Below are 26275 nucleotides of genomic sequence, written 5' to 3' on the forward strand. Positions count from 1 at the left end.
TCCTGGCTGGAGCATGAGAGCTGGAAGTACTGGGGTGTGTTGGAATCCAGCATGAGAGGAAGAGAGAGAGTGGTGGGCAAAGGTGGGGAAGGATGTGGGTTGGCTGCTGAGGCCTGCTTCAAGGGGCCCTCCCTCTCTGTCTGCCTTCTGCCACAGCCCTGGCTTGTGGGGACCTGGTGGCCGAGAGCCTCCTCCACCTACCTCCAGAGCCACAGGCTGGCCTCTGCCAGGTGCACCGAGCAGGGGACCCTGAACTGGCCTATCAGAATTTTTTTCTAAGCCTCATTGTATCATGAGAAAGCGAAGCCTTTCCTATCTGGACTCAGGATTCCTTTGGTTTCAGACAAATCATTTTCCCCAAAGTGCCATGAAACCCTGCATACCTGAATCCCAGGGCTTTGCCTAAACTCGCCTTCTCTTTCTGATGCAATAGCATCAGGAAGCCCAGTACATACGGTGTCTTGCATGCCTCCCTGCCTCACACCAGACACGACACTGCGTGTCTTTATCCTGTTGGTGCCACAGATCCTCACAGAATCCACCTTTGCGAACTCTTTCCCCTTCATTGTCCTTCTAAGGGTGGGCCTGGAGGTCTGAAGTCACTCCAGCAAGTCCCCTGTGGGCTTCAGAAGGCCCTGCTCGTTGCCTCTGTCAGTGGCCCCTAAGTAGCAACGGCTTACCTCCGCGCCCCTGCTCACCTCCACGCATCTCCCGCTCAGCCCCTCCCGACCCCGTACCCTCTGTGCACCTCCCGCTCACCCCCCGCCACACCCTCCATGCACCTGCCACTCATCCCCCCACCTGCACCCTCCGCTCACTTCCTGCTGACCCCCGTGTACCTCCCGCTCATCCCCGCCACACCCTCCACGCACCTCGTGCTCAACCCCGCGCACCTCCTGCTGCTCTGACTTTTGCTTGCTGGACACAGCCTTTCCCATCTTAGCTACTTTCCATCCACCTCAGTCCCCTCCTTTCAGCACACCCACTTACCTATTTCTTCCTCCGCTCCTGTCCTTCACAATTTCTTTCCCCATCCCTTTGTTAAATGTGGCCCTCTGATGTATTTTTTTCATGACTAAAAATCTCTCTGATTTATGTAATTTTTAGTCTGGAAATTCTATAAAATCATCACCTTAGAAAACCTCATCTCAGTCTCCTTCAGGCAATCCAGCCTGTCTGCACGTCCCTGAATACACAGCCAGCACTCTGTTACATCTGTCCCTTGCATGTGTGATGTGCATCTGCTGGCAACCCTCACCCACACACAGGCACACACACGAGCCTGGTGGGGTCTGTGTGTCCTTCAGAGTTTGGGAATCACCTGTGGGTACAGTTAGCCTCCTTGAGAACAGGAAGTTGTCTTATTCAGCATTTGTGTTTATGTTCAATGCCTGGCTTAGAGACTGGTGTATGCTAGTTTCTCCATGAGTGTTGGTGGAATGAGTGAGTGGGCAGGTGAATAAAACAACTTGTCACTCACATTATAAAGGAGATCATCACGAAGAGAAGCTGGCTGCCCATTAGTTGGTCCCCAGCATAGCAGAGCCATCTTCATAGGACTAGGGTGCATTTCTCAACTTTAAGAGAAATATTATCGCTGAAGAATAAGAGTGCTCTGAAAAAAATTTATGAGACATCTTCTTAGTTCATCTTGTACTAGGGTTCCTTGATATCATGTTTTAATTTACAGTTCCCAAAGATTTATTTCTAAATATGGCCAAAAAAGGTAACACATGTATTAAGTTCATTTGGAGAACAGTTTTATCACTAAATAATGTGATGTCAAGATAATGACAGATACACATGTGAATAATTTTTAGGCTGTAAATATGTTTGCATTTCAAAATGTGAATTTCGTTTTGATGTTTGTTTCTCCCCAGAGGCAGTTTTGTCTCTCAGTTCAGGCTGGTGTCCGGCGGTTTCAGTGTTTGCAGTGTTCTCGCTCTGATTTTCAGGTTGACTTTGATCAACTTCAGGATAATTTATGTCAGATGGAGAGAAGATGCAAAGCTTCATGGGATCACCTCAAGGCAATTGCAAAACATGAAATGAAACCAGTTTTAAAACAACGGATGTCAGAGTTCCTGAAAGACTGTGCAGAGCGAATTATAATTTTAAAGATTGTCCATAGAAGGATAATCAACAGGTAAGTGGATTGAGGAACTTATAGAAATATCAGTACAATGGCATATTGAAAAATTTGTACTGGAAATTAAGAGCCGATGGTTAAATTTACAGATTTTTTGTACATTCTTGGTACATAGCAAGTACACTGATGATACAGATGTTTAACAGTTTCATGGATAATTAATTTTTCTTACACAATAATATAATGCCATCAAACCTCAAAGTTGGAAGGAATCTCAGAAATAATTTGATCCAAAAATCCTACCTATCAGGAACTGCGTCTGTAAGATTTCTAACAAATTGAACCCTGCATCTCTGGGTCTGCTGGAAGAATTTCACCTATAGAGAGGACACTCCCTTTCAAGGCAGCTCTCTTTGTTAGAAAAGTTCCTCCTTTACCTGATCTGCAGCTGGCCTTCGGAGGACCTTCCAGTAACAGATCCTCCAACAGCTGCTTAGCTATGCCACAGCCTACCTGAGGGAGGTCCAAGCTCCATCACAGCACTGTCCTCTGGACCAGCCCTCCTCAGAGTCACAGGATCCAAGAGGACCCTGGAGACACAGCAGTGATGTGTCAGACCTTGTTGTGCCCACAAGGAGAATGGGGTCTGGAACAGCCCATGGCTGTCCAGGGCCGTGCCACCAGAAAGCAGTGGTAGCCCGAAGACTAGAACCTGGATCTTCTATCTTCCCAGGCCAGGGCCTTTCCTACCATGTGCTACCACTCTCTTCTCCTTTGCTTTGTCACAGAACACGGTTGAGGGACCCTCACCCATTCTTCCTTCCTCCCTCCCTCCCTGCCTTTCCTTTCTTTCCTCATCTCCTTCTTTCACCTTCCTTAAGCCTATACAGAACTTTTTAAAACCTGATACTTTTATCTGCACATGAACCCTCTCCCAGCTTGTGTCAGTTTCTGCTTTGATATTCATACTCCCTGGGTCTCCATTCAGACCACTGAGAAAATGGCAAGTAGTTTTTAAAGTTGGACGGGACAAAAATAAGAAGCAGAATCTTCCCTCCAGGTTGACAACTATCCGTCAGTCAGTTCTTTTGGAATTTAATTGTTCAACTATAAATCTCCCTGACTATCTATCTAGACCTTCTGGCTGTCCTTCCTTCCTCAAGGGAACTTTTAGGATATTTTGTCAGATTTCTTACTGAAATCAAAGAGGCAGGGAATGTGAGCTGGTTTGGCCCTCCATGCTTTGTATGATGCAAGCAATTCCCCATTTAAAATACACGCACGCGCACACACACACACACACAACACACACACACACACACACACACACACACACACACGGAGAGAGAACCAACTATTATTTGGAACGTCATGAAACTGGAGTAATTTTATGAATGTCTTATAAAGCTGTTGAGCTTGGTTATGTTAACCATTTTATCCCAGACAGATTAAAAACTCAGTTTGGTGGTGTGTCTATTTCTTAAGCTATAAAGTATTTGCTCTGATTATCCCATTCTCCTTGGTAAGCTGGTCACCCAGATGATGGCTGCTCCCGCCTCACCTGTCCACATCCTACTGGGGATGACCAGGAGGAGCCAGAAGTTCACTGTGGTTTTGGTGTGGGTAGTAAAAGGGGCGTGGCTAAAGGGAGGTGGTACCCGGAAGTGGCCAGTCCAAAGTATCTAAACCGTAGAACCCTGTGTTCAAATGAAGTCTTTAGCTGGAGCGCTGTATGTAGAACTGATTAAAGCAGGACTCTCTTGTTGAAATTGAGATGGAGGACTGAGAGCCCCAAGGACTGTGCCTCATTTTTCCTTCCCCCTCCCACCAACAGTCCTCAGGATCATAGCTGAGGATGGCTGTGATTTTTTTTTTTTTAAACTTAACACATTGGGAAACTGAGGCACAGAAAGGACCCTATTCAGGGCCTTACAGCTGGTAACCAGAGGGATCATCTTAGTCATGCAAATGAGCCTGCCTAAATACTTATATTTTGATGTCAGATCAAAAAGTTTCAAAAGGTGTCTCTTTGGGTAAAACCTACTTTTTGAAACTGTTTCCTGGCTAAGAAAATTTTGTTTTGGATGTTCAAACCTGCATTTGTTTTAACTTTTATTTTAGGTTCAGGGATACATGTGAAGGTTTGTTAACATAGGTAAACTCATGTCATGGGGGTTTGTTGTACAGATTATTTCATCACCCAGGTACTAAGCCCAGTATCCGATAGTTATCTTTTCTGCTCCTCTCCCTCCTTCCACCCTCCACCTTCATGTCCAGTGTCTGTTGTTTCCTTCTTTGTGTTCATAAGTTCTCATCATTTAGCTCCCATTTATAAATGAGAACATGTGATATTTGGTTTTCTGTTCCCGTGTTGGTTTGCTAAGGATAATGGCCTCCAGCTCCATCCATGTTCCCACAAAAGACATGATCGTGTTCTTTCTTATGGATGTATAGTGTTTCGTGGTGTATATGTACCACATTTTTTTATCCAATCTGTTATTGATGGGCATTGAGGTTGATTTCATGTCTTTGCTGTTGTGATTAGTGCTACAATGAACATTCGTGTGCATGTGTCTTTCTGGTAGAATGATTTATATTCCTCTTGGTATATATATACCCAGTAATGGGATTGCTGGGTCGAATGGAAGTTCTGCTTTTAGCTCTTTGAAGAATCACCATACTGCTTTCCACAATGGTTGAATTAATTTACACTCCCTCCAACCGAGTATAAGTGTTCCTTTTTTTCCACAACTTCACCAACATCTGTTATTTTTTGACTTTTTAATTATAACCATTTTCACTGATGTGAGATGGTATCTCATTGTGGTTTAGATTTGCATTTCTCTGATGATCAGTGATGTTGAGCCTTTTTTTTTTCCATATTCTTGTTGGTCACATGTATGTCTTCTTTTAAAAAGTGTCTGTTCGGGGCCGGGCATGGTGGCTCACGCCTGTAATCCCAGCATTTTGGGGGGCCAAGGTGGGTGGATCACGAGGTCAGGAGATCAAGATCATCCTGGCTAACACGGTGAAACCCTGTCTCTACTAAAAATACAAAAAATTAGCTGAGCATGGTGGTGGGCACCTGTAGTCCCAGCTACTCAGGAGGCTAAGACAGGAGAATGGCATGACCTGGGAGGTGGAGCTTGCAGTGAGCCGAGACAGTGCCACTACACTCCAGCCTGGGAGACAGAGGAAGACTCCATCTCAAAAAAAGAAGTGTCTGTTCATGTCCTTTGCCCACTTTTAGTGGGGTTGTTCATTTTTCTCTTGTAAATTAAAGTTCCTTAAAGATGCTCGACATTAGACCTTTGTCAGATGCATAGTGTGCAAAAATTTTCGCCCACTCTATAGGTTATCTGTTTACTCTGTTGATAGTTTCTTTTGCTGTGCAGAACTTCTTAAATTTAATTAGATCCCATTTGTCAATTTTTGCTTTCATTGTGATTGCTTTTGGTAAATTTCGCTGTGATTGCTTTGTCAGCCTGTTCCTATGTCCAGGATGGTATTGCCTAGGTTGTCTCCCAGGGTTTTTATAGTTTTGGGTTTTACATTTAAGTCTTTAATCCATCTAGAGATGACTTTTGTATATGGTGTAAGGAAAGTGTCCAATCTTCAACATTTGACTAGCCAGTTATCCCAGCACCATTTATTGAATAGAGAGTCTTTTCCCCATTGCTTGTTTTGTCAGCTTTGTCAAAGATCAGATGGTCATAGGTGTGTGACCTTATTTCTGGGCTTTCTATTCTGTTCCATTGGTCTATGTGCCTGTTTCTGTACTAGTACTATGCTGTCGCAATTACTGTAGCCCTATATTGTAAAGTTGGGTAGTGTGATGCCTCCAGCTTTGTTCTTTTTGCTTAGGATTGCCTTGGTAATCCAGGCTCTTTTTTTGTTCCATATGAATTTTAAAACAATTTTTTTCTAGTTCTGTGAAGAATGTCTTTGGTAGTTTGATAGGAATAGCATTGAATCTGTAAACTGCTTTGGGCAGTATGGCCATTTTAATGACACTAATCCTTCCAATTCATGAGCATGGGATATTTTCCATTTGTTTGTGTCATCTCTGATTTCTTTGAGCAGTGTTTTGTAATTCTCATTGTAGATATCTTTCACCTCCCTGGTTAGCTGTATTCCTAGGTATTTTATTCTTTTCGTGGCAACTGTGAATGAGATTGCCTTTCTGATTTGGCTCTCAGCTTGACTGTTGTTGGTGTGTAGGAAAGCTAGTGATTTTTGTACATTGATTTTGTATCCTGGAACTTTGCTGAAGTTATCAGCTGAAGGAGCTTTTGGGCTGAGATGATGGAGTTTTCTGGATATAGAATCATGTCATTTGCAAACAAAGATAGTTTGACTTTCTCTCATCCTATTTGAATGCGCTTTATTTCTCCTTCCTGATTGCCCTGACCAGAACTTCCAACATTATGTTGCATAGAAGTGGTGAGAGAGGGCATCCGTGTCTCCTGCTGGTTTTCAAGGGGAATGCTTCTAGCTTTTGCCCATTCAGTATGATATTGGCTGTGGATTTGTCATAGATGGCCCTTATTATTATATTTTGAGGTATGTTCCTTCAATACCTAGTTTATCGAGTGTTTTAACATGAAGGGTGTTGAATTTTATTGAAAGCCTTTTCTGTGTCTATTGAGATAATAATGTGGGTTTTGTCTTTAATTCTTAAACGTGCATATTAACCTTTCCTTTTATCCTTTTGTACTCTCTGGATGTACAGACCCACCCACTCACTCCTGTAGATTCATTAGGCTACAGTTGCACTGTGAAAGGCACAGAGAGGGACTGGGGAGAGGAAGAGAAGAAAGCTGTTATTAGTCGATTCTCATGCTGCTAATAAAGACATATCCGAGACTGGGTAATTTATAAAGGAAAGAAGGTTAATTGACTCACAGTTCTGCACCACTGGGGAGGCCTCAGGAAACTTACAATCACAGTGGAAGGGGAACCAAACACGTCCTTCTTCACATAACGGCAGCAAGGAGAAGTGCCAAGCAAAGCGGGAAAGCCCTTATAAAACCATCAGATCTCGTGAGATCTTACTCTCACAAGAACAGGATGGGGGATACCGCCCCCTATGATTCAATTGTTTCCACCTGGTCCCTAAACAATGCATGGGAATTATGGGAACTACAATTTAAGATGAGATTTGGGTGGAGACACAGCCAAACCATATCAAAAGCCTTCCTGGGAGGCCTAGCAAACTACAGCAATGGACTGCCATTCAAGGGGGAGAGACAGGCAGAAGACAAGTAAACACCAAGACTGGTGTGCCATTGCCCAAAGTCCACCCCTCCCATTCTGGGCTAGACAGTGGCAGGCTTGAGTAAGAGTCAGATGATGGAACAAATCAAAGATGTTTGACTTGTGCTTTGGCTTACTGGTTAGGGGGGCCAGCCTGCCCATAACCATACAATCTTCATATCATGTATTCTAAAAGTTACAAACTCAACTGAAAAAAATTCCTTAAAAGTTTTATGGCCTCAAAGTCATATCCTTTTTGTTCTTCTGAAGGAATACCATAGTTTCTCTCTTTTCAAATGTATATCTGGATCTTTTTCAGACCTTTACTTGTTTGTTGTTACTCTCCTTGTTTGTAAAATACATGCTTAAATAACATTTCCAATTTATATGTTAAGTTTGGATTCCCTGTGCATCCAAAAACAATGCTCTAGAAAGTGTAGGATAAAGAATCTTGGGTTGTACTTATGTATAAAATAGGACCCAGAATGTTAATCTATTAGAATGAGGTGAAGTGGTTAGCTAGCTGCAGGCTGATGGATTCTCCCCTCAAATCTTCCTGCATACAGATCTTGAATAGTTGTTATATTATACTGTACTGTCCTATCCTAATATCATATCATATATCTAATATATAATGTCAAGTGGTAATAACAGCCAGGAAGAAAAAATAAGAGTATAAATGGTTAGGTAGTGACCTGACACAGGGTGGTCATGGAAGGCTTCTCGGAGGAGGTGGTATTTTGGGCAGAGACCTGTGGAATGAGTGAGAGCCATCCATGCAGCTGTCAGTAGGGAAAACATTCTACACATGGGGAACAGCTGGTACTGGATACCTTGTCAGGCCTGTGGTCCTACCCTGTGGAGTGGCCTCCTCACCCCTCCCCACAGGCCCTGCAGGCTCTCAGTTCCTTGGCCTCTGTGTCCCTCCAGGGCTCCTGCACACTACACATGGTGTCTGGGGCTCTGAGGTGGGCTTTTTCAGGGAATAACCAGGATTCCAGTGTAACTAGAGTCACAAGAGATGAAGTCAGAGAGGTGATAGGGCTAGTCGTCCAGGGCCTTATTTGGAAATGCTATATTTAGTTTATCCATGCATTATATCCATCCAATGCTATACTTAGTTTATCTTTCCATGGACATTTGGGTTGTTTCCACTTTCAGCTATTGTGAATAATGCTTCTATGAACTTTTGTGTAGAAGGTTTTGTGTGTACACATATTTTCATTTCTTTTTATGCAAATGAGAAAAATTGCTAAGTCATGTAATAAACTCTGTTTATCTTTTTGAAGAACTGCCAGATCATTTTCTATGGCTGCTAAACCATTTTATCTTCCTACCAGCACTGTGGAAAGGGTCCAATTTCTCCACATCCTCACCAACATTTGTTCTAGCCTGTCTCTTTTATTACAGCCATCCTGGTGGGTGTATGTGGTGTCTCCTTGTGGTTCTGATGTGTATTCCTTAGTGATGTTGAGCAGCTTTTTTCATGTATCTCTTGGCCGTGTGCATATCTTTTTAGGAGAAATGTCTATTCAAATCCTTTGTCCATTTTTTATTTGTCTTTTTAGTGTTGCGTTGTAAGATTCCTTTATATATTCTGACACAAGTCCCTTATTAGACACATGACTTGCAAATATTTTCTCCTATCTTTTAGATTGTCTTTTTAGTCTTGATAATATCCTTTGAAACACAAAAGTTTTTAAGTTTAATGAAGTCCAGTTTATCTACTTTGGTCACTTCTGCTTTGGGTATCATATCTAAGCACATTAATCCAAAGTCATGAAGATTTCTACTTTATTTTCTTCTAAGAGTCATGTAGTTTTGGATAGCATTTTTTAGGCCCTTTTACTTTAAATACAAGTTGTATGTTTACTTCATTATTCGTCTCAAAAAGAGTAAGCCAGTGTCCCTTATTTTAAAAAATCCATATTCAAGCTGTGCAAATTAGAGTGATCAAAATTTTTTGTCTATAAATAGTGGTATCATTTGCGTAATGTTGTTTGTTCCACAGAAAGCTTTCCCTCTGTCTCCCACTGTGTTCTTTCTCATTTCCTAATAACTAAAATTTGGGTACTTATCTGCTCATGTAATTTCTTTTACAACATTTTAAAACAAATAATGTTTAATAATTTTTGTTTACAAATTAAGTAGTTAAAATAAATTTATTTTCTGCTTCTTTGGTGTTTCCTAATTAAATTAATATTATATATAATATCACAAGAAATGTTTAAAAATATTTACTCAGAAAACAGCATCTACTTAGAAGCTATGAATTAACATGTTATTCATAATATGTTCATGTCTATTTTAAGTGTTCATTCCAAAGAATTTCTAAGCAACATTTCTTTATTCCTATTGAATTGTCATATAATCTAGAAATGGTGCAATACTTTTCGAAAATACCACTTTAACATTTTTCTTACAAAAGTTTTACATATATCCATTTTAGAAAAATGTTAAAACACAGATACGCAAAGTGAAAAAGTAATCTGTTGAGGTCCTGCCACCTAGATATAATCTCCATCAGTGGGAAAGTGAGTTGAACTTCTGTTTGCATTTTCACTTGAGAAGACTCTTGAAATTCAAAGCCCCAGGAATGAAGGACAGTGTCTTCTTACTGAGAGTGTGGCTTGTTGGTTTCTTTATTATTATTATTATTATTATTATTATTATTATTATTATTTATTTTAAGTTCTCACATTGGTTTCTTACTGAGAGATTTTAGACAAGTAATTTTTATTTCTTAAAACGGAAGTCATTGCTATTACTGTTTTTTCCTTGCAGATTCCACTCCTTTTTACTCTTTATGGGCCATCCACCTTATGCAATTCGGGAAGTGAACATAAACAAATTCTGCAGGATTATTAGTGAATTTGCACTAGAGTATCGCACAACCAGGGAAAGGGTTTTGCAGCAGAAACAGAAACGGGCCAACCACAGAGAGAGAAATAAGACCAGAGGGAAGATGATCACCGATGTAAGTTTCACACAATCCCTCTCCTTATGTCATTCGTTTTCAAAGTAAGATCAGTCAGGAATCCTCCCCACAGTTAAAAGCTGTGCTTTTTTTTTTTTTTTTTTTTTTTTTTTTGACTATAAAAAATTATCTCTTTTAAAAAGTGCTCTTAAAGTACTCCTCCACCATTTCTGTGAAAATCTGCTAAATAACAAGGAGCTAGGAGATGTAAAGTTCAGAACGTGTGGCTAGAAGAGGAACATGGAACCCATTTTGGTGTGTTGCATGTTGCTGATGACATTAAATGTTTGATTCTATTTTTGTCCTCTGTGATGTGGGTAAAGTTGGATGAAGACAAGTAAAATATAAAAGATAATGCCGCTTATCATAGAAAGACAAATGTACTGATTGGGGCATTGATTCAGAATTTTAATCATCATAACGGTGCTGTGTAACCAATCAGTTGACACATGGACCACCCATTGTGGGCATCTGAATAAACTGATGTGATTGCTCCAAGATACAATCTAATGGGCTCTTGCCAGTCCCTTGAATCACAGGACATCAGGGTGGAAAGAGTTCCCAGAGGACAGTGAATCCAGTAGGAGTTTCCCCATAGCACCCTGGGGAGCCCCTGCACACTTACATGTCTCCCCTGCTCCCGGGCTCTTTCCCCATCTCTCCTGTCTCAGCCCCAAGCCTACCTAGGTCTTGGGGGGCAGTGGATATTCAGATGACAGATGCTCAGTAAAGTGGAGGGTAAAGGGATGCATGACGATGCCAGAGACCAACGGAGGTACATAGTGCAGGTTCCTTTTTCTTAATGTGCCTTTACGAAACATAAAAACCAGGCTAGCATCTCACTTACCTCATCCATTACTGTAAGGTCAGTTCCAGGCAAAAGGCTGAAATTTTCTGGGAATCCTCCTTTAGTCACTATTTATTCTTTCTTGAACAGACTCAACGATAATAAAGTCATCTTTTTTGATATTGACAGGTCATATTTGGAACTTGTTGAAGGACTCTAGAGTGTGATTTTTTTTCATGGTTTGGATTGTTGCCCATGGATTTCTCCCATCTGTGCGTGCATTTGAGTAGCACATGGACTTCTGGCAATAGAGGGAATGGAATGAGGAAAGGATTAAGCCACAGGGCGTGCCATCATCTGGGCAGTTACACATTTCAACTGAACCCTAGTTAGGCAGATTTTTGCTGGGGGAGGAAGAAAACCAATTAGGAAGACCTCACTGAAGCCGCCCTATGTGCACAGACATGTGTGTATGTAGTCAGCCAAGCAGAGGGCACTTGGTTACTGCTCTCTAGAAGTCCACATTCCTGAGGGTCTGACTTACATGGAAGGCCAGACACATTAACTTAGCAATTTTGTTATAATTTTAAGAACCACGGGATAATCATTTCTCTTACCATCCACCTTTGTGTAAGCTCCTTGTTTTCTTGGAATTTTCTGGACCTTTAGGAAGTGCTCAGGTCACTTTTGTGCAGAAGGAGCCCTTTCTACAGCTCTACCCTGCACCCAAGCAGTTCTGAATTCCAGTGCCATCAGCCAAGAGTCTTCTGTATCCTTTCCTGAAATCTCAGTTCAGTAGGATCCACAGCCTCTTGGAAGACAGCAACCCAGGAAGCATGTTGGATCCACTTGGGCAAACTGTGGCCCACATTTTATTCATAGTATTATTTTTGAAAGTTTAAAAAAAGAGATTGCTTATTTTGTGGCTATGAGACACATACAAGCCGAATATGCTTATAGTTATGTGGACACATCAAAATTTCTTGCTAAATTCTTGAGATTTTTTACAGATCCCACTAATTTTTAAATTCTTTCTCTTAAAACATTTGGCTTTCCCAATCATAAACAGAGGTGAATGTTTCTAGAGTTTGATTCAAAAATATTTAAATTCCCATTAAAATCTGGACAGGATAGGCTTCGTCAGGATTCATTCTCAGCCTAGTCCATGTTTTTAATGGCCAAAGTGGCATCATTCATGTAGAAGGATTGCCCTCTGCTGGAACATTAGGATATTGTCCCTTAAGGAAAACTACAGCCTTGGGTTTTTCCAACTCAATTATTAAGGGCTCATTGTGCATCCAGCAGTGCCTGGGACACCAAGGAAGATGTGAGTATAAAGAAAAGCTTATATCCCAAGGACATCATAACCTGGTTAAAAATGGCATATACACAACTTAAACCACTGAAAACAAAGCCAGACAGTAGACTTAGAATCACGGACCCCCTGAACGTTGGAGCTAGAAGAGATTTTAGAGAAAACTGTTTGTAGTAAGTCACCTTGAATGTACATGCTGAATAAAATGAGGATGCAAGTGGTAACATTTAGAGATGAGAGGTCTGAGGGTAAAATCTGCAGCCCCCACGCACCAGCTCCTGAGTGCCTATCCCTCTTCTTCTCCCCGTTTCTGGGTATTCAGAAGGCTTCCTTTTCATCATCCAGGGGTCCTCCCAGGCCAGGATCACTGAGCAACTAATTCCTCATCCTGTGTACAAAGTTGGTCCTAGAGCAAATGGTGACATAGACAAGGCAACACGAGGCACCTACAGCCTTTCTGCCGCATTCACACTCGTGAGGTGGGCTGTGAGAACCCAGGCTGGTCAATCCCAGGCCTCCCACGTTGGAGGGCAGTGGTAATCCTGGGTGAGACCCTTAACCCTTCTCAATGCCAGCTTCCTCTTCTATAGAAAGGGAATGATGATTACTTTTAGGGATGTTGAGCGGGCCAATATTTTATATATGTAGCACCTTGAACATGTGTGAATTTCTGGAAAAATGCCAGCCATCCCAGGTTATATAAATAAACTGTAAGAATTTTTTAAAAGAGAGTAATGGAACAGGACTGTTGTCTCTTGTCACAATGCCATTTGGATGAGGCAGCGTGGAATGTTACGGACTGGAAGTGGTTTGTCATTTTAACTTCCAAAAGCATAGTTCATTCTCAAAACACTTCAATCTGATTTGCTGGCCTGGCCCTGTAACCTCACAGACACTCCTAAATTGAAAGTGTGTTTAATTTATGATCAAGAGATTGACATGACTTTTCACTCTCAATTTATGTTAGAAGAGAGATATTTTATTTAAAGTAACTTAAAGCAGTTTAGTGCTAAAGTAATTAAAAGTATGGAGAGTCAGTTCAGGTGGCTCCCATGAGAAACAGGTGAGATGTTAAAAATAAATTAATTTCATGCTCCTGAGGAGAGAGTAATGTGAACACGCTGCTGGAGCAGTTGTCTCACTTGTCCTGGCTGGCCTGCATATGGAAGGACCAGCGGTAGCCCAGAACCAGCAGCCTGGGCAGGGAGGGATCCTGCGCTCGGGATGGGATGGGAGGGCCGGCAGCTGACAGGCAGAGCCAAGCAAATGGAAGCCAGTCCACTTAGAGGGGCCTTGATGACTGTCAGGCCGTGATGGGTTCATAAGGATGTGGCCAGCCAAGCCATATGGTTCACAGAGCAGGACACTCTCAGCACGATGCACAGCTGCGAGTGACGTTGGTGGTGGTCAGGGAATCGAGTTAGCTGACTGTTACCTCAGGGACAGCCCCAGAAGATTGGCCCGGAGCCGTGTGAGTCCCTCTGGTCATGGGTGATCTTGGAGTTCACACAAGGAGTGTCCAGATGAGGACAAGAGGGTGGGGCCTGGCAGCTCCCAACTCAAGAGGATGTATCCTGGTTGTGGTGACCAGTTTATTTACTTGGAATTTTATGTGACATTGCGATGATCTTTTTGCTGACTTCTGTGCCTTCTAAGAATCCCTTCTGTCTTTTCCGTCCTGTCCTGTCCTGTCCTCTCGGGTAGACTGATGAGGAGGAGGAAGTTGAGGTATGACCATTTATGAACATGAAGAATGCCACATTTTACCACCTCATGTATGCTCTGGTCTAACCTAACATAATCAGCATGAAGTGTCAGCACCATTCAGTGCTTTAAACAATGCATGGACATTTTTCTGGTTGGTTTTCGTGTGATCACTAACCACCTGACAGGGGCTCTCATCATGCCACGTTTGCCAGGGACTGAAGGGTTAAATGCATTTTCCGAGCTGTCCCTGAGGCCCAGCTAATCAGTAACCATGTCACAAGTGGCAGGTTTAGCAGGTCTCTCCCTGCTGCTGGAAAAGTGGACAGAGAATTTTCCTTTGGCAACTTAAATATGAGAACTAGATTCTGGAATAACCACATGAAGAGTCCTGAAATCAAAGAGGAAGTGGGGCAGTGGCCAAGGGCCAGGCTAGAGTCTCTGTCCCCAGCCAGTAGGCAGCCTCTGATGTGTGACCATTTCCTCTGCTGGTGTTAATGGCTCCCATGGGCCAACGTCCATGCAGTGGCAGATGGCAGGGGCTCTTCCCTAGACCCTGGATGCAGGTGCGAGAACCAGAGACCAAGGGGGCTAATTGGCCCTGGAAAATAAGGAGAGAGCCGTGTAGATGCTACAAGCCACAGATTGTCCCCAACCCTGTTGCCATGCCTGAGACACTGGGTGACAAAGGAAGCCAGCAGTCTGTGGAGGTGTTCTTTGCAAATGTTAATCTGACTTTTTGTTCTTCATCCAGGTGTTCGGCATTGTGTACGTATGGTATTCCAGCATACCTCTTTTAAAATATATATGTCCTGACCTTTTGTTCAGTTAGAGAAAATCAGCATGAATTTATGTGTCTTGTTCTGTTTTGGGCCCTGATACCAATTCTTTTGGGGTCCCTGGCAAGCCACATATTCTTGAAGGGCCTCAGTTTCCTTTTCCATAAAAGCAAGGTGGGACTAGGTCTAGAAGAATTCTTCCCAACTCTTAACATGCTAGGATTCTGTGATTGAATCCCACTTTTGTAATTCTACCATCGTAAGTGATACTTAAGAAAAATTTAACTGCTTTCTGACACTAAGTAAAAAAATAAAGCTCAATATGCTTGGTTAACAAGGCATATTTCATTTCAATTCTTATATCAGGGCTTTGGTGTAAGAAACACATTTGGTTTTAGACCTTCCCAGAGCCAATGCCAGTTGCTCCTGACAGCCACCCTTTGAGGGGATCTGAGTGAGTGACAGAGACGGCTACAATGGATGAATGGGTGGTGGTCCTTCTGGGGCCGGGGGCTTTTCTGTCTCATATTAGATCTTCTTGTAGGCACAGATGTTTTGTCATTAGTTAACTTCAGTGACTGCCGTAATGAATGTGTCTGCAAACAAAACAAGACAGAGGAGAGGAGCTTTTCCTCAACCACGGGTTTTAGAAGCTTGAGTTGTCTTTTTGGGGAGTCTCCCTCACCTGCTAACTTCCCCTTGGTTTTGCAGTCTGGCAAGTTCTCCGGCAGTTCTCCGGCGCCCCCAAGCCAGCCGCAGGGTCTGAGCTATGCGGAGGACGCGGCTGAGCACGAGAACATGAAGGCTGTGCTGAAAACCTCGTCCCCCTCCGTGGAGGACGCCACCCCCGCGCTGGGCGTCCGCACACGCAGCCGAGCAAGCCGAGGTAACTCCTGGCTGCGCGGGGCTCGTCTTGTCTTCTCAGGTTGGCCGCTCTGGGGGGGTCCGGTCTCCATCGCAGGCTGCGGTCCACGGCTGTGACTGGCCCTCGGCTCCAGTGCCAACCTAACCACACACATTCCCTCACTAGCGTCTTCCTGACCCACCTTCAATAGCTTCATCTCCAAAACAAACATTCCCACGAGAGTACCTCACTTTACACAGAGGGAATCCTTACCGGGGATGACCTCCTGAGGGAGAGCTGGGGTGGGCAGACTGCAACCTGCAAGCCAAATCCAGCCTTCCCCCTGCTTTTAGAAATAAAGTTTTGTTGGGACACAGCCATATTTACTCATTTGTGTAGTGTCTGTGGCTACTTTGGCAGAGTTGAGCCACTGTGGCAGACACTGTAGGACCTACAGAGCCTAAAACATCTACTACACAGGACAAGGTTGCCAACCCTGCCCTACAGCACTACCCCTTTGTCCCTTTTTCACATCCTTAGGCAGAGACAAAAACTAAAACTTCAAAATGGCGGCCAGATTCGAGTTTCCAGATTTGTTTTTATCATTAGAAGGGATTAAGATGCATTTGACATCTGTGAATGTTTCCTCGTGTTTCCCTGGTCTGGCCTGATAACCCATTGACCCTCCTGGGTTTCTTCACTGCCTGCAGGGTGAAGCCCACAGTATTCACACTGTTCTTGGAGGCCCCCTGTAGGCAGGTCCTGTCCTATCTCCCAAGCTTGGCATTCCCTCACCCTGCATGGTCACCGCGGCGCTTCTCCGCACGCTGCTCGTCCTAGAGTCCCCGCTCTTCTCATGCTGCTCCCTCAGTTCAGGATGCCCGCTCCTCTGCCTGTCCCGTTCCCATTCACCTCATCCTCTGGGCACTGTCCCTATCACCAGGCCACTCTTTCTCTTCCATGCACTCCAGAGACCCCAGTTAGATCTACTAAAGATGGTCAACTTTAAGGAGAATCAACTGTTGGAGACAGGCTTTCTTCTCTCGGTGTTTGCTTAGCACACACTATGCGTGCAGCTAGAAGAAACCATATAATCTTGTCCAAGCTGGGATGCTTTGGAGTGTGAAAGGGGGTGCTAGTAGTAATTATGCTGGGAGAGCAAGTAAAACAGCATGCCAGGTAAGCTGGTTTGTGGGTTGCCATACACATCACAGAAATGCAGTAGTGAGTGAACAGATGAATATTGCGCCCACCAGACATTTTCGTAGGCTCTAATGAACATGCAGGCAGAAAGGCAGCTAGAATCTGGAGGGCTGCAGTCTGGAGAAACCTGAGGAGGCTCTTCAGTGACTTCTAATAGGCTTTGCTCACTAACTAGTGCTTTTTGGAATCTTGCTGTTGTCAACATTCTTAAATATACAAAAATAACGGTAGTAATGATAAATTCAACATAATGGAAAAAATAAATGCAGCTTTGAGTTTTCTTGAGAAGAAGGTGAGTCATTACCACACCACGCATGTGGCTGATTGTAGTTTCCTATGAACCAAAGAGCCACAAACTGCTGTCCAAGGAGGACCTCAAAGGGACCTGCAGGCTGTGCTCCAGAACCCTAGGGCTTTTGTGGGATTCCCAAGCAGATTGGCACTTCAGTCTTTTTTACTAAATTACTGACTGGTTTTCTCACTTCATGTGACTACAGTGTTACTAACTCTAGTTCTCTTTTCTTCTGTCTTAATGTTGGACTTTGGTGTTTACCTTTTAATATAGGGCATCAGCCGGGCACGGTGGCTCACGCCTGTAATCCCAGCACTTTGGGAGGCCGAGGTCGGTGGATCACTTGAGGTCAGGAGTTCAAGACCAGTCTGGCCAACCGGGTGAAACCCTGTCTCTACTAAAATTACAAAATTAGCTGGGTGTGGTGTCACATGCCTGTAATCCTAGCTACTGGGGAGGCTGAGGCAGGAGAATTGCTTGAACCTTGGAGGTGGAGGTTGCAGTGAGCCAAGATGGCGCCATTGCACTCAAGCCTGGGCGAAGAAGCAAGACTCTGTCTCAAAATATATATATATATGTATTATATATTTTATATATATTATAAATATATAATCATATATATTATATACATAATATATAATATGTTAAATTTTATATAATATGTGTATTATACACGTTATATATGTGTATTATATACATTATATATAATATGTGTATTATATACGTTATATATGCGTATTATATACGTTATATATGCGTATTATATACGTTATATATGCGTATTATACACTTTATATATAATATGCGTATTATACACGTTATATATAATATGCGTATTATACACGTTATATATAATATGCGTATTATACACGTTATATATAATATGTGTATTATACACGTTATATATGTGTATTATACACGTTATATATATGTGTATTATATACGCTATATATGTGTATTATATACGTTATATATGTGTACTATACGTTATATACAATATGCGTATTATACACGTTATATACAATATGCGTATTATACACGTTATATACAATATGCGTATTATACACGTTATATACAATATGCGTATTATACACGTTATATACAATATGCGTATTATACACGTTATATACAATATGCGTATTATACACGTTATATACAATATGCGTATTATACACGTTATATATAATATGCGTATTATACACGTTATATATAATATGCGTATTATACACGTTATATATAATATTGTATTATACACGTTATATATAATATGTGTATTATACACGTTATATATAATATGTGTATTATACACGTTATATATAATATGTGTATTATACACGTTATATATAATATGTGTATTATACACGTTATATATAATATGTGTATTATACACGTTATATATAATATATGTGTATTATACACGTTATATATAATATATATGTATTATATATTTCTGTGTGTATATATATATGTATGGATTCTACTTTGATGCACAGCTGAAAATATGCTTGAAGAAGGGCTTCCTCCCTCCCTGCCCCAGTGTTACACCAACTGAGGCACAGATGACAGGGTGGAAAAATCATATCTTTTACTACAGCCTTGATCCCCAGACACCCTAAGTATTTGCATATGTTATTATTACATCAAAGAATTAAAGATAATTAGTCTCTCTGAGATCGGGTCTTTCCAAACCTCTTTCCAAAACTGTAATTTCCATAGATAGTTTTGGATGTGGAATTGGGAGAAGAAAATAATATTATGCTTTGGCAATGAAAAGGTAGCCTTTTAGTGACCAAGAGCAGACAGACACAGCTGAGGAGAACCAAAACCCTGATTTTATGTGGGATACATTCTGATTGTCTGGTTTGCTATATGGAAGGAAAGGTACCCTCTTCTTGACCAGTGCTGTCTGTAAAAGACCTCCATTCCAGGAAGTGATTGGAGAGAGAGTGTGTGTAAACAAGAAAGAAGAGGAGAGAAGAAGGTGGGGAAGGCCAGAAAGTGAAGAAAACAGTCTCATTAAATGGTGAACAATAGAGACTGTCAGTGTAGAGCCAGCATAAAACAAGGATGAGAAATCGTTTTGCAGTGTTGGGGGACATGGCAAGGGGTATCACTTTTACCTTGTGGCACCCAAAAAGGCCTAAGACATCCCATGTATGAGCTTGTCTTTGCCCAGCAGCTCTTGCAGGCTTTGTATGCTAGGCTAAACATGGCCAACAGGGATGTGAAGGTGAACATTAATGCCTGCACCATGGTGACCCCAGCCATCAGACCAGAGTCTTGAGCCCCTGTGTCTTGGTGGATGCAGGAGGAGTGCAGTTGAAGCCTTCTTAGGGGGTGGATCTCAGTAATAGAACATAAATAGGTTGTACCAATTTTAAAGGAAAAGAAACATCTATTCCTGACCAGAAAGGATAGCGAGAAAAGATGTTGGTGGGTTTGTACAACATGGGGTCATCTTTGCTGGCGTATGAAAGGGATTAGAATGGGAGGCTGTTCAGTTTCTCTGCACATTAATGCCAATCTCAAGGGAGACTTCTGCTTTCATGCAGCATGTGTTATGGAGTGGCAAGCCACCCACCTGCTACAACAACTAGAAGTAAAAATAATAAAGCCTTCTTTGAAAAAACATTAGAGAACTGTAAAAGGAAAGAGGACTAGACAAACTAGAATTGGAGGTGAGCTGACATTGCCTCTCTGTGAGCATTTGCCAAATCTGGGCACAAGCTGAGGATTGGGCTTATGGTAGTGGAGTGACTCTAATGGGAAAGAGAAGCCAGCAGAATTTGTAGTAGCTGTATGAACTGGTACAAGAGATTGAAATTGAGAGGAGGCTAAAATGCAGATGATTTTCTCCATGAGACATTTGCTAAATGGAGCACTGCGGGATGGGGGTTGGAGGGAGGAAGGTCAGCGGGTGATGCTGTGCTAGAAATGTTGAAGGAGATGTCCTGCAGTCTTTAAACTGAGGAGACAAAGATAGGCTAGAGTAAGCACCTTGAACAGATACTTACTGATCTTGGCCTCAAGAAAAAGAGAGGTGGGAAGTGGACTGATTGTTAATTAAAGCTGCTGTCTGGCCTAAACCCAGCTCAATACCTCACTGTATCTGTTAATAGCAGAGAAAAGACTCTCTGGAGGAAAATAATGCTGACTTCAGTCTCTACGTTCTTCTATACACAAAGTCCAGTGTAATAAAAATTACAAGCCACAGGAATAACATGAAAATATGACTGAAAATCAAGAAGAAAAATAGATAATAGCAGCAGACCCATAAGTGATTCAGATGTTGAAATCTACAGTCAAGGACTTGAAATGACCATTATAAATGTTAAAATAAAAACTAAAAGGAAACATAGACAAGTGGGTAAAAAGGTAGATAATTTCAATAGCAAATTAGACTCTATAAATAAGAATCAAATGGATATTCCAGAACTACAAAACAAAATATCTGAAATAAACTCATTGGATGGGCTTAGCAGAGACTGATCACAGCAAAAGAGGATTAGTGAATTCAAAGGCAGGTTAATAGAAAATGTATAAACAGAAGCATAGTGAGAAAAAATGGAAAGAATAGAATAAAATATAAGATCTGAGGGACACAGTTGAATGGTCTAACATGTGTAATTGGAGTACTGGAAAAAGATGGACCAGAAGCAATATTTGAAGAGATTGAAGAGATTTGAAGAGATGGCTGAGAATTTACCAAAACAGATAAATATCAACCAACATATTTAAGAAACTTAGGAAATCCAAGAAGAGTAAGTACAAAGAGAACCATACCATAGACAAAGTGCTAAAATAAATAAATAAATAAATAAAGATAAAATCTTTAAAACAGAGAAGAAAGATACATTGCCTCCTATGGTGCAATGATAATAATGATGGCTCAATTTTCAAAAGGAACTGTAGAAGCCAGAAAAAAAAGGAATGATATCTTTAAACTGCCAGAACAAAAAACTTCAACCACAGAAGTCTATCTTCAGAGAAATCGTCTTTCAGAAATGAAAGCAAACTTTTTACATTAAAACAGTAGAATATCCATTTTGACTTAAGTGTTTTCCTTGTAGACTCTTTCTTTAGGTTAGATTTCTATAAGGGGAAAAACAAATTTCAGTGCTTTCTTTCAAATCTCAGTTTTCATGTTTTAGAAAAATAAAAGTAAAGTGGTATTGTGCTATTATGGTCTAGATTGCTTTATCCTCTCCACCACATCTCAAATGTCTTGCTAACACTTACTACTACATGGTCCCTTGGGTATGTAAAATGTGTGTGCAGTATTACCCTGATGGCTACAGTGTGGGTGCAAGGGTTCCAGGAAGAGGAATGTATACATGACTAGGAAGAATGGAAATAAATGGTAATCAGGCAGTGAGGATATAACCAAGAGGAGCGGACATAAAGTAGAACCAGGAATGAAGTCGTGAGAGAATGAAGTCATCATAAAACTGAGTTGACAATCTTGGACCTAGGGCAAGATGTTTCCTTTAAGCATCTCCTGACACATTACATTGACAGAAGATCCCTGGGATTGTGTAAGATGGAAAAGTATAGGTAATTCTCAGAGGGAAGATTAGATGATGCCTTCATTTCTGGCCCAGTGCTCTGCAAATGTATTATGAGCAAAGACAATTTATTGAGCTTTGCATGTTTTTAGAAGGTATTTCGGCATTTTAAGATAAGACAAAATTATAAATCAATAGATAAAAGGGAAAACAGGAAATTGCGGGGTAAAACACAATTGCATGATTGATTGCTCTACTCTGAGGAGGACCATTGTTCAGAGGATCTGCAGAGGCCCAGTCTAAAAGCTGTGGCATTATAAGGACTTTTATTTCCAATTAAAATACCGTGACCATTCTGAGAATGCAGAGACTTTCAGCAGCAATTTCAACAGTTTATTTTTTAAAAGAGTCTATTTTTTAAAGGATTTATAATGCTGAAAAAAACTGGCCTAATAGCAAGTAGATCAAGTTCCTTTGGGTATAAGCACAAAAAGTACAATCTACTGTTTTTGCATGTGCTCATGCTGTAGGTATGCTATCATTTAAAAAATAAAAGCTAAGCAAAACCAAAAAAAAAAACTGTATCAGTAATAACGGAAATCAGAGTCTCACTTTGTTGCCCAGGCTGGAGCATAGTGGCGTGATCTCAGCTCACTGCAACCTCTGTCTCCCGGGTTCAAGAGATTCTCCTGCCTCAGCCTCCTGAGTAGCTGGGACTATAGATGCACACCACCATGCTTGACTAATTTTTGTATTTTTAGTAGAGATGGGGTTTCACTGTGTTGGCCAGGCTGTTCTCGAACTCCTGACCTCAAGCGATCTGCCCGCCTCAGCCTCCCAAAGTGCTGGGATTACAGACGTGAGCCACTGCACCCAGCCAACAAAAATCTTACCATTGGAAAACATCATTGTTCTATAGCCACAGGTTTTATGTACATGCAGGTGACAGGGCACCTGGTGTCCTGGCTCTCCTTTTGCAAAGTGTGAAATATTTATGTATTTAATTCAGTCATGAATTTTACTATCAGAAATTATGACTACTTTATAGCACAGTGTGTATTTGCAGCAATATGTCAACTACACACACACACACACATATATATGAAAATCACAGTCCATTGAACTGTGATCCACTGTTCCCAACCATTTCCATTGATATCTATTTTTTCTTGGTTCATTCATTACCAGCCAGGTGGTTGTAAGCACCAAAACTTAAAAAAAAAATTAGTGTGGGAGAACTCAAACATTTTAACTATTTATTAACATTTTTTTCCTCCAAGTTGGGAAAGGCTGGCAGTTCCCTTGTGTTGTACTTTAGTCAGGCTGGGGCTACTTGTGTGCCATAGGCAATGATTCTGATAATTCTCACCTACAGGTTTTTGAAGTTGTTGTGCATCTACTATAAAATGAAGTGTAGATGGTAGAAATTAACAATTTTGAGCATATTGTACATCTTTCCTCTTGTAGCAACGTATATTCACTATCGTATAGAAGAGATTTCACAAGAAAGCTGATCAATTACAAAGATGTAGTTCTGGATATATTACATTAGCATTAATTTCTAACTGTTTAACACTGCAGTTGACCTTTGAACAACTTGGATTTGATGGAGCACATCTACCTACATGCAGATTTTTTCCAACAATACAGATCAAAAATAAAGTATTTGCAGGATGCGAAGCCCATGTATATAGAGGGCTGTAAACCCAAGTTCTGCAGAGTTGATTGTGGAACTTGATTATGCACAGATTTGGATATACTTGGGAGTACTGGAACAAATCCCTCTGTATACTGAGGGATGACTGTACTTGGGACCCATGTTTTGGTGATGCTTTCTTCTGACTTGTTTTAATATGTAGTTATTTATAAACTACAGAAAATGTTGAGGGAGCAGATTTATGTACCAGAGAAAAATTTAAGTTACCAACCCCTTTGCTGGTTAAAGAGGGCAATCCTGTTACAATTTTTAAAGGCTAGATAATTCAAAGATAAACTGTGTATTATAAAATCTATTTCTTTCTACTTAGCGAGAAGTTAGGGTCAGCTGACAGACTAGGCACATACAACCACTGATAGAGAGCTGACCCAGTAAGACCCTCAGTGAGTCTCTACATTACTAGATGTGCATCACCGGATATTGATGGCTGTGTAGCAGGGTGTGGCTTGGGTCATCTGCCCTCAGGTGATCACAGGACCTGGCAGGTAAAGACAACACACCTGGGTTGGAGAGTTAAATAATAATGAGAGACAAGATACACAGCTGTGTTACAGGGTGATATGAAATAAGTGCCCCGCGTATGGGTTTGCTCAGAGCCTGCAGGGTAGCAGTCACGAGTTATGGTGGTGCTCCCTGCAGTGGGGACAGGTTAGCCCTCTGGATCTATCACTAGCTCTGGGGCTTTAACTCTGGCCTTCCCTGTGATCTGTTGCTGAAAGAACTCAACTGCTTGGAGGAATACTGCTGCATATATCTTTTGTGTTTTCCTTCTGAGTATGTTGTGCACTCTGGCTGTTTAATTTTTAGGATCCACTAGTTCCTGGACTATGGGAACTGATGACTCGCCCAATGTCACAGATGATGCAGCTGATGAGATCATGGACCGCATCGTCAAGTCAGCCACCCAAGTGCCCAGTCAGCGAGTGGTGCCGAGGGAGAGGAAACGATCCCGGGCCAACCGGAAATCTTGTGAGTGCATTAAAGGAGGGGCGAGCCTTCACCCCTACAGGGATCTGCCCTCCCATTCTACGTGAACTGGGAAAGGTGGAGACACAGCTCCAGTGAATTGTCAGTGGCTCCCAGAGTGCCTACTTGCACTCATCCACAGAAAGTTTCAGGGTTGGCTGTTGACGTTGGCCATTGTGGAGGAGGGGAGCTGCAGCCACACCTGTTCAGTGTATCTGCCATTGGTGGCTAGGCCTCTCTCAATTCATACTTTCTTCCCAGGAAGGTATGAAAAGTCCTTAAGTGTCTGTGGTGTACCAGGGGTGAGCACGATGGGCTAGTGGAGCCCATCGTCAAGTCCAGCCTAAGATGCTCTGCTGGAGGCTGTGTTTCTGCCCTGCACCCAGCACCAGGGGGCGCTTGTGGGGCTGGAGACTGGCCTCTCCTGGGTTCATCGCTGCCCACAAGCATGTTGAAGGCAAAAACTAGGGTAGCAAGGGATTTGATGGTCATTGGGATGCTTGAAATATTTAACGTGGCCTAGGTTGACCATTTTTTCCTTTTCCCACCAAATAGAGGATTCAACTAAATCAAAGTGACTGATTTTCCTTTTTGGTCTGAACCTACTGCCTGCTCCTGCCCACCCAACTCATGGGTGTGGGGTTGCCTCTGTCTGCCCCTCTCAGGGACAGTGCTCCATAGGGAAACAGGTTCCTGTAGATCCTTTGACATCTCCCTGCATGAGCTGTGGCCTTGAGTGTTTCAGAAGAGCACTCAGCCAGCCGCTGGGTCACTCTAGAGGCTGCTTTAGTCTCCACTGGCTTTGCCTCTGAGAATAAGGGTTAGTGACAAGGAAAGAAGCCAGTGGCTTCCTCCTGTTTTCTCCCAAAAGTGAAAGGAGCATGAGTCCAGCTAGGCAGGGAGTTGAGTAAGTACTCAAATTCAGAGAGCCCCAAACTTGTTCCACCCTTGAGATTCACACAGGAGGTGACCAGGGTGTGGCCTGTGTATGTTGGACCCAGTGGTTCTGCTTGACCCATTTACACACGTTTCCAGGATACAGAACACTAACCCACATTCCTGTGGTCCCCTGCTCCTTTCCTATGATCTGCTTTCGTTTCTGATGAGAATTTTTCCCCAGAAAGGAAAATAACACTTGAGGTTGGGGTGGGGGTGCAGATAGGGATGGGATGAGGAGCAGGGAATGGGATTCTCATTCAGTAAGATGGGTGGACTGAGAATCTGTTTCTGACAAGCTCCTAGATGAGGTTAATGCTTCTGGCCCTTGGTACACACTGTGAGTAACAAGGCTCTTGAGCTGTGGTTCTCAACCCTGGATACACATTAGAATGTTCTGCAGAGATGTTTAAATTCCTGATATCTGGGCTGCACCCACACACACTACTTCAGAACCTCAGGGGTGAGGCCTTGAGGTGTGGGTCCCTGCCCCTTGGATTAGTGGCATTAGGTGTGGGCTCTCTCTTTATTGTATGCCTTCCTCTGCTCTCCACTACGTTTATTTCATTTTTTAAATGGAAAACTATCGTTCAGGGAGACTGGCTTGTACATCTTCAAGAATATGTTTGTAGATTCCAACATCAATATCTAAGGCCTTTACATTTCTTTCTTCTGATATTTTCCTATATTCTCACTGCTACTATGAATTCTTTGCTGTCTCCTGGTGCACTTGTGAAAGAACTTGGCTAGGGGCTCGCAACTCAAAGTTGAACCTCAGACAATACGTGTGTCTCCTGGAGGCTTGTTGGAATTGCAGATTTATGGGCCCCCTTTCTAGGGCAACTGATTCAAATCTGCATTTAATGAGATCCCCAGGTGATTCATGTTCATAATAAGATGGACAG

The 26275-nt window shown here is 42.1% G+C and overlaps 1 protein-coding gene across 45 annotated transcripts in view, besides 1 other annotated feature; it reads left to right on the plus strand.

Moving 5' to 3' along the window:
* Positions 1-26275, plus strand: part of FHOD3 (formin homology 2 domain containing 3) — a 482508-nt gene that overhangs the window by 447277 nt on the left and 8956 nt on the right. For 22 of the 45 annotated variants that reach the window (XM_011526190.3, XM_047437844.1, XM_047437838.1 and 19 more), the window contains 4 exons: positions 1956-2146; positions 10130-10322; positions 15619-15793; positions 24276-24437. In XM_011526190.3, coding sequence (XP_011524492.1) covers positions 1956-2146; positions 10130-10322; positions 15619-15793; positions 24276-24437 — 721 coding nt within the window. Of the gene's footprint in view, positions 1-1955; positions 2147-10129; positions 10323-14128; positions 14153-15618; positions 15794-24275; positions 24438-26275 lie in introns of all 45 variants that reach the window. The other 23 variants (XM_011526189.2, XM_011526195.2, NM_001281740.3 and 20 more) reach the window with 2 other exon arrangements.
* Positions 24701-24846: a silencer, noted in NCBI's record as "fragment chr18:34349653-34349798 (GRCh37/hg19 assembly coordinates)". NCBI's record gives its function as "represses an EF-1alpha promoter that drives an FKBP-Casp9 reporter gene in an ReSE screen in HepG2 liver carcinoma cells {active_cell/tissue: HepG2}" and the evidence as "EXISTENCE:reporter gene assay evidence [ECO:0000049][PMID:32094911]".

Source organism: Homo sapiens, chromosome 18 (assembly GCF_000001405.40).
Source record: "Homo sapiens chromosome 18, GRCh38.p14 Primary Assembly".
Lineage (NCBI taxonomy): Eukaryota > Metazoa > Chordata > Mammalia > Primates > Hominidae > Homo > Homo sapiens.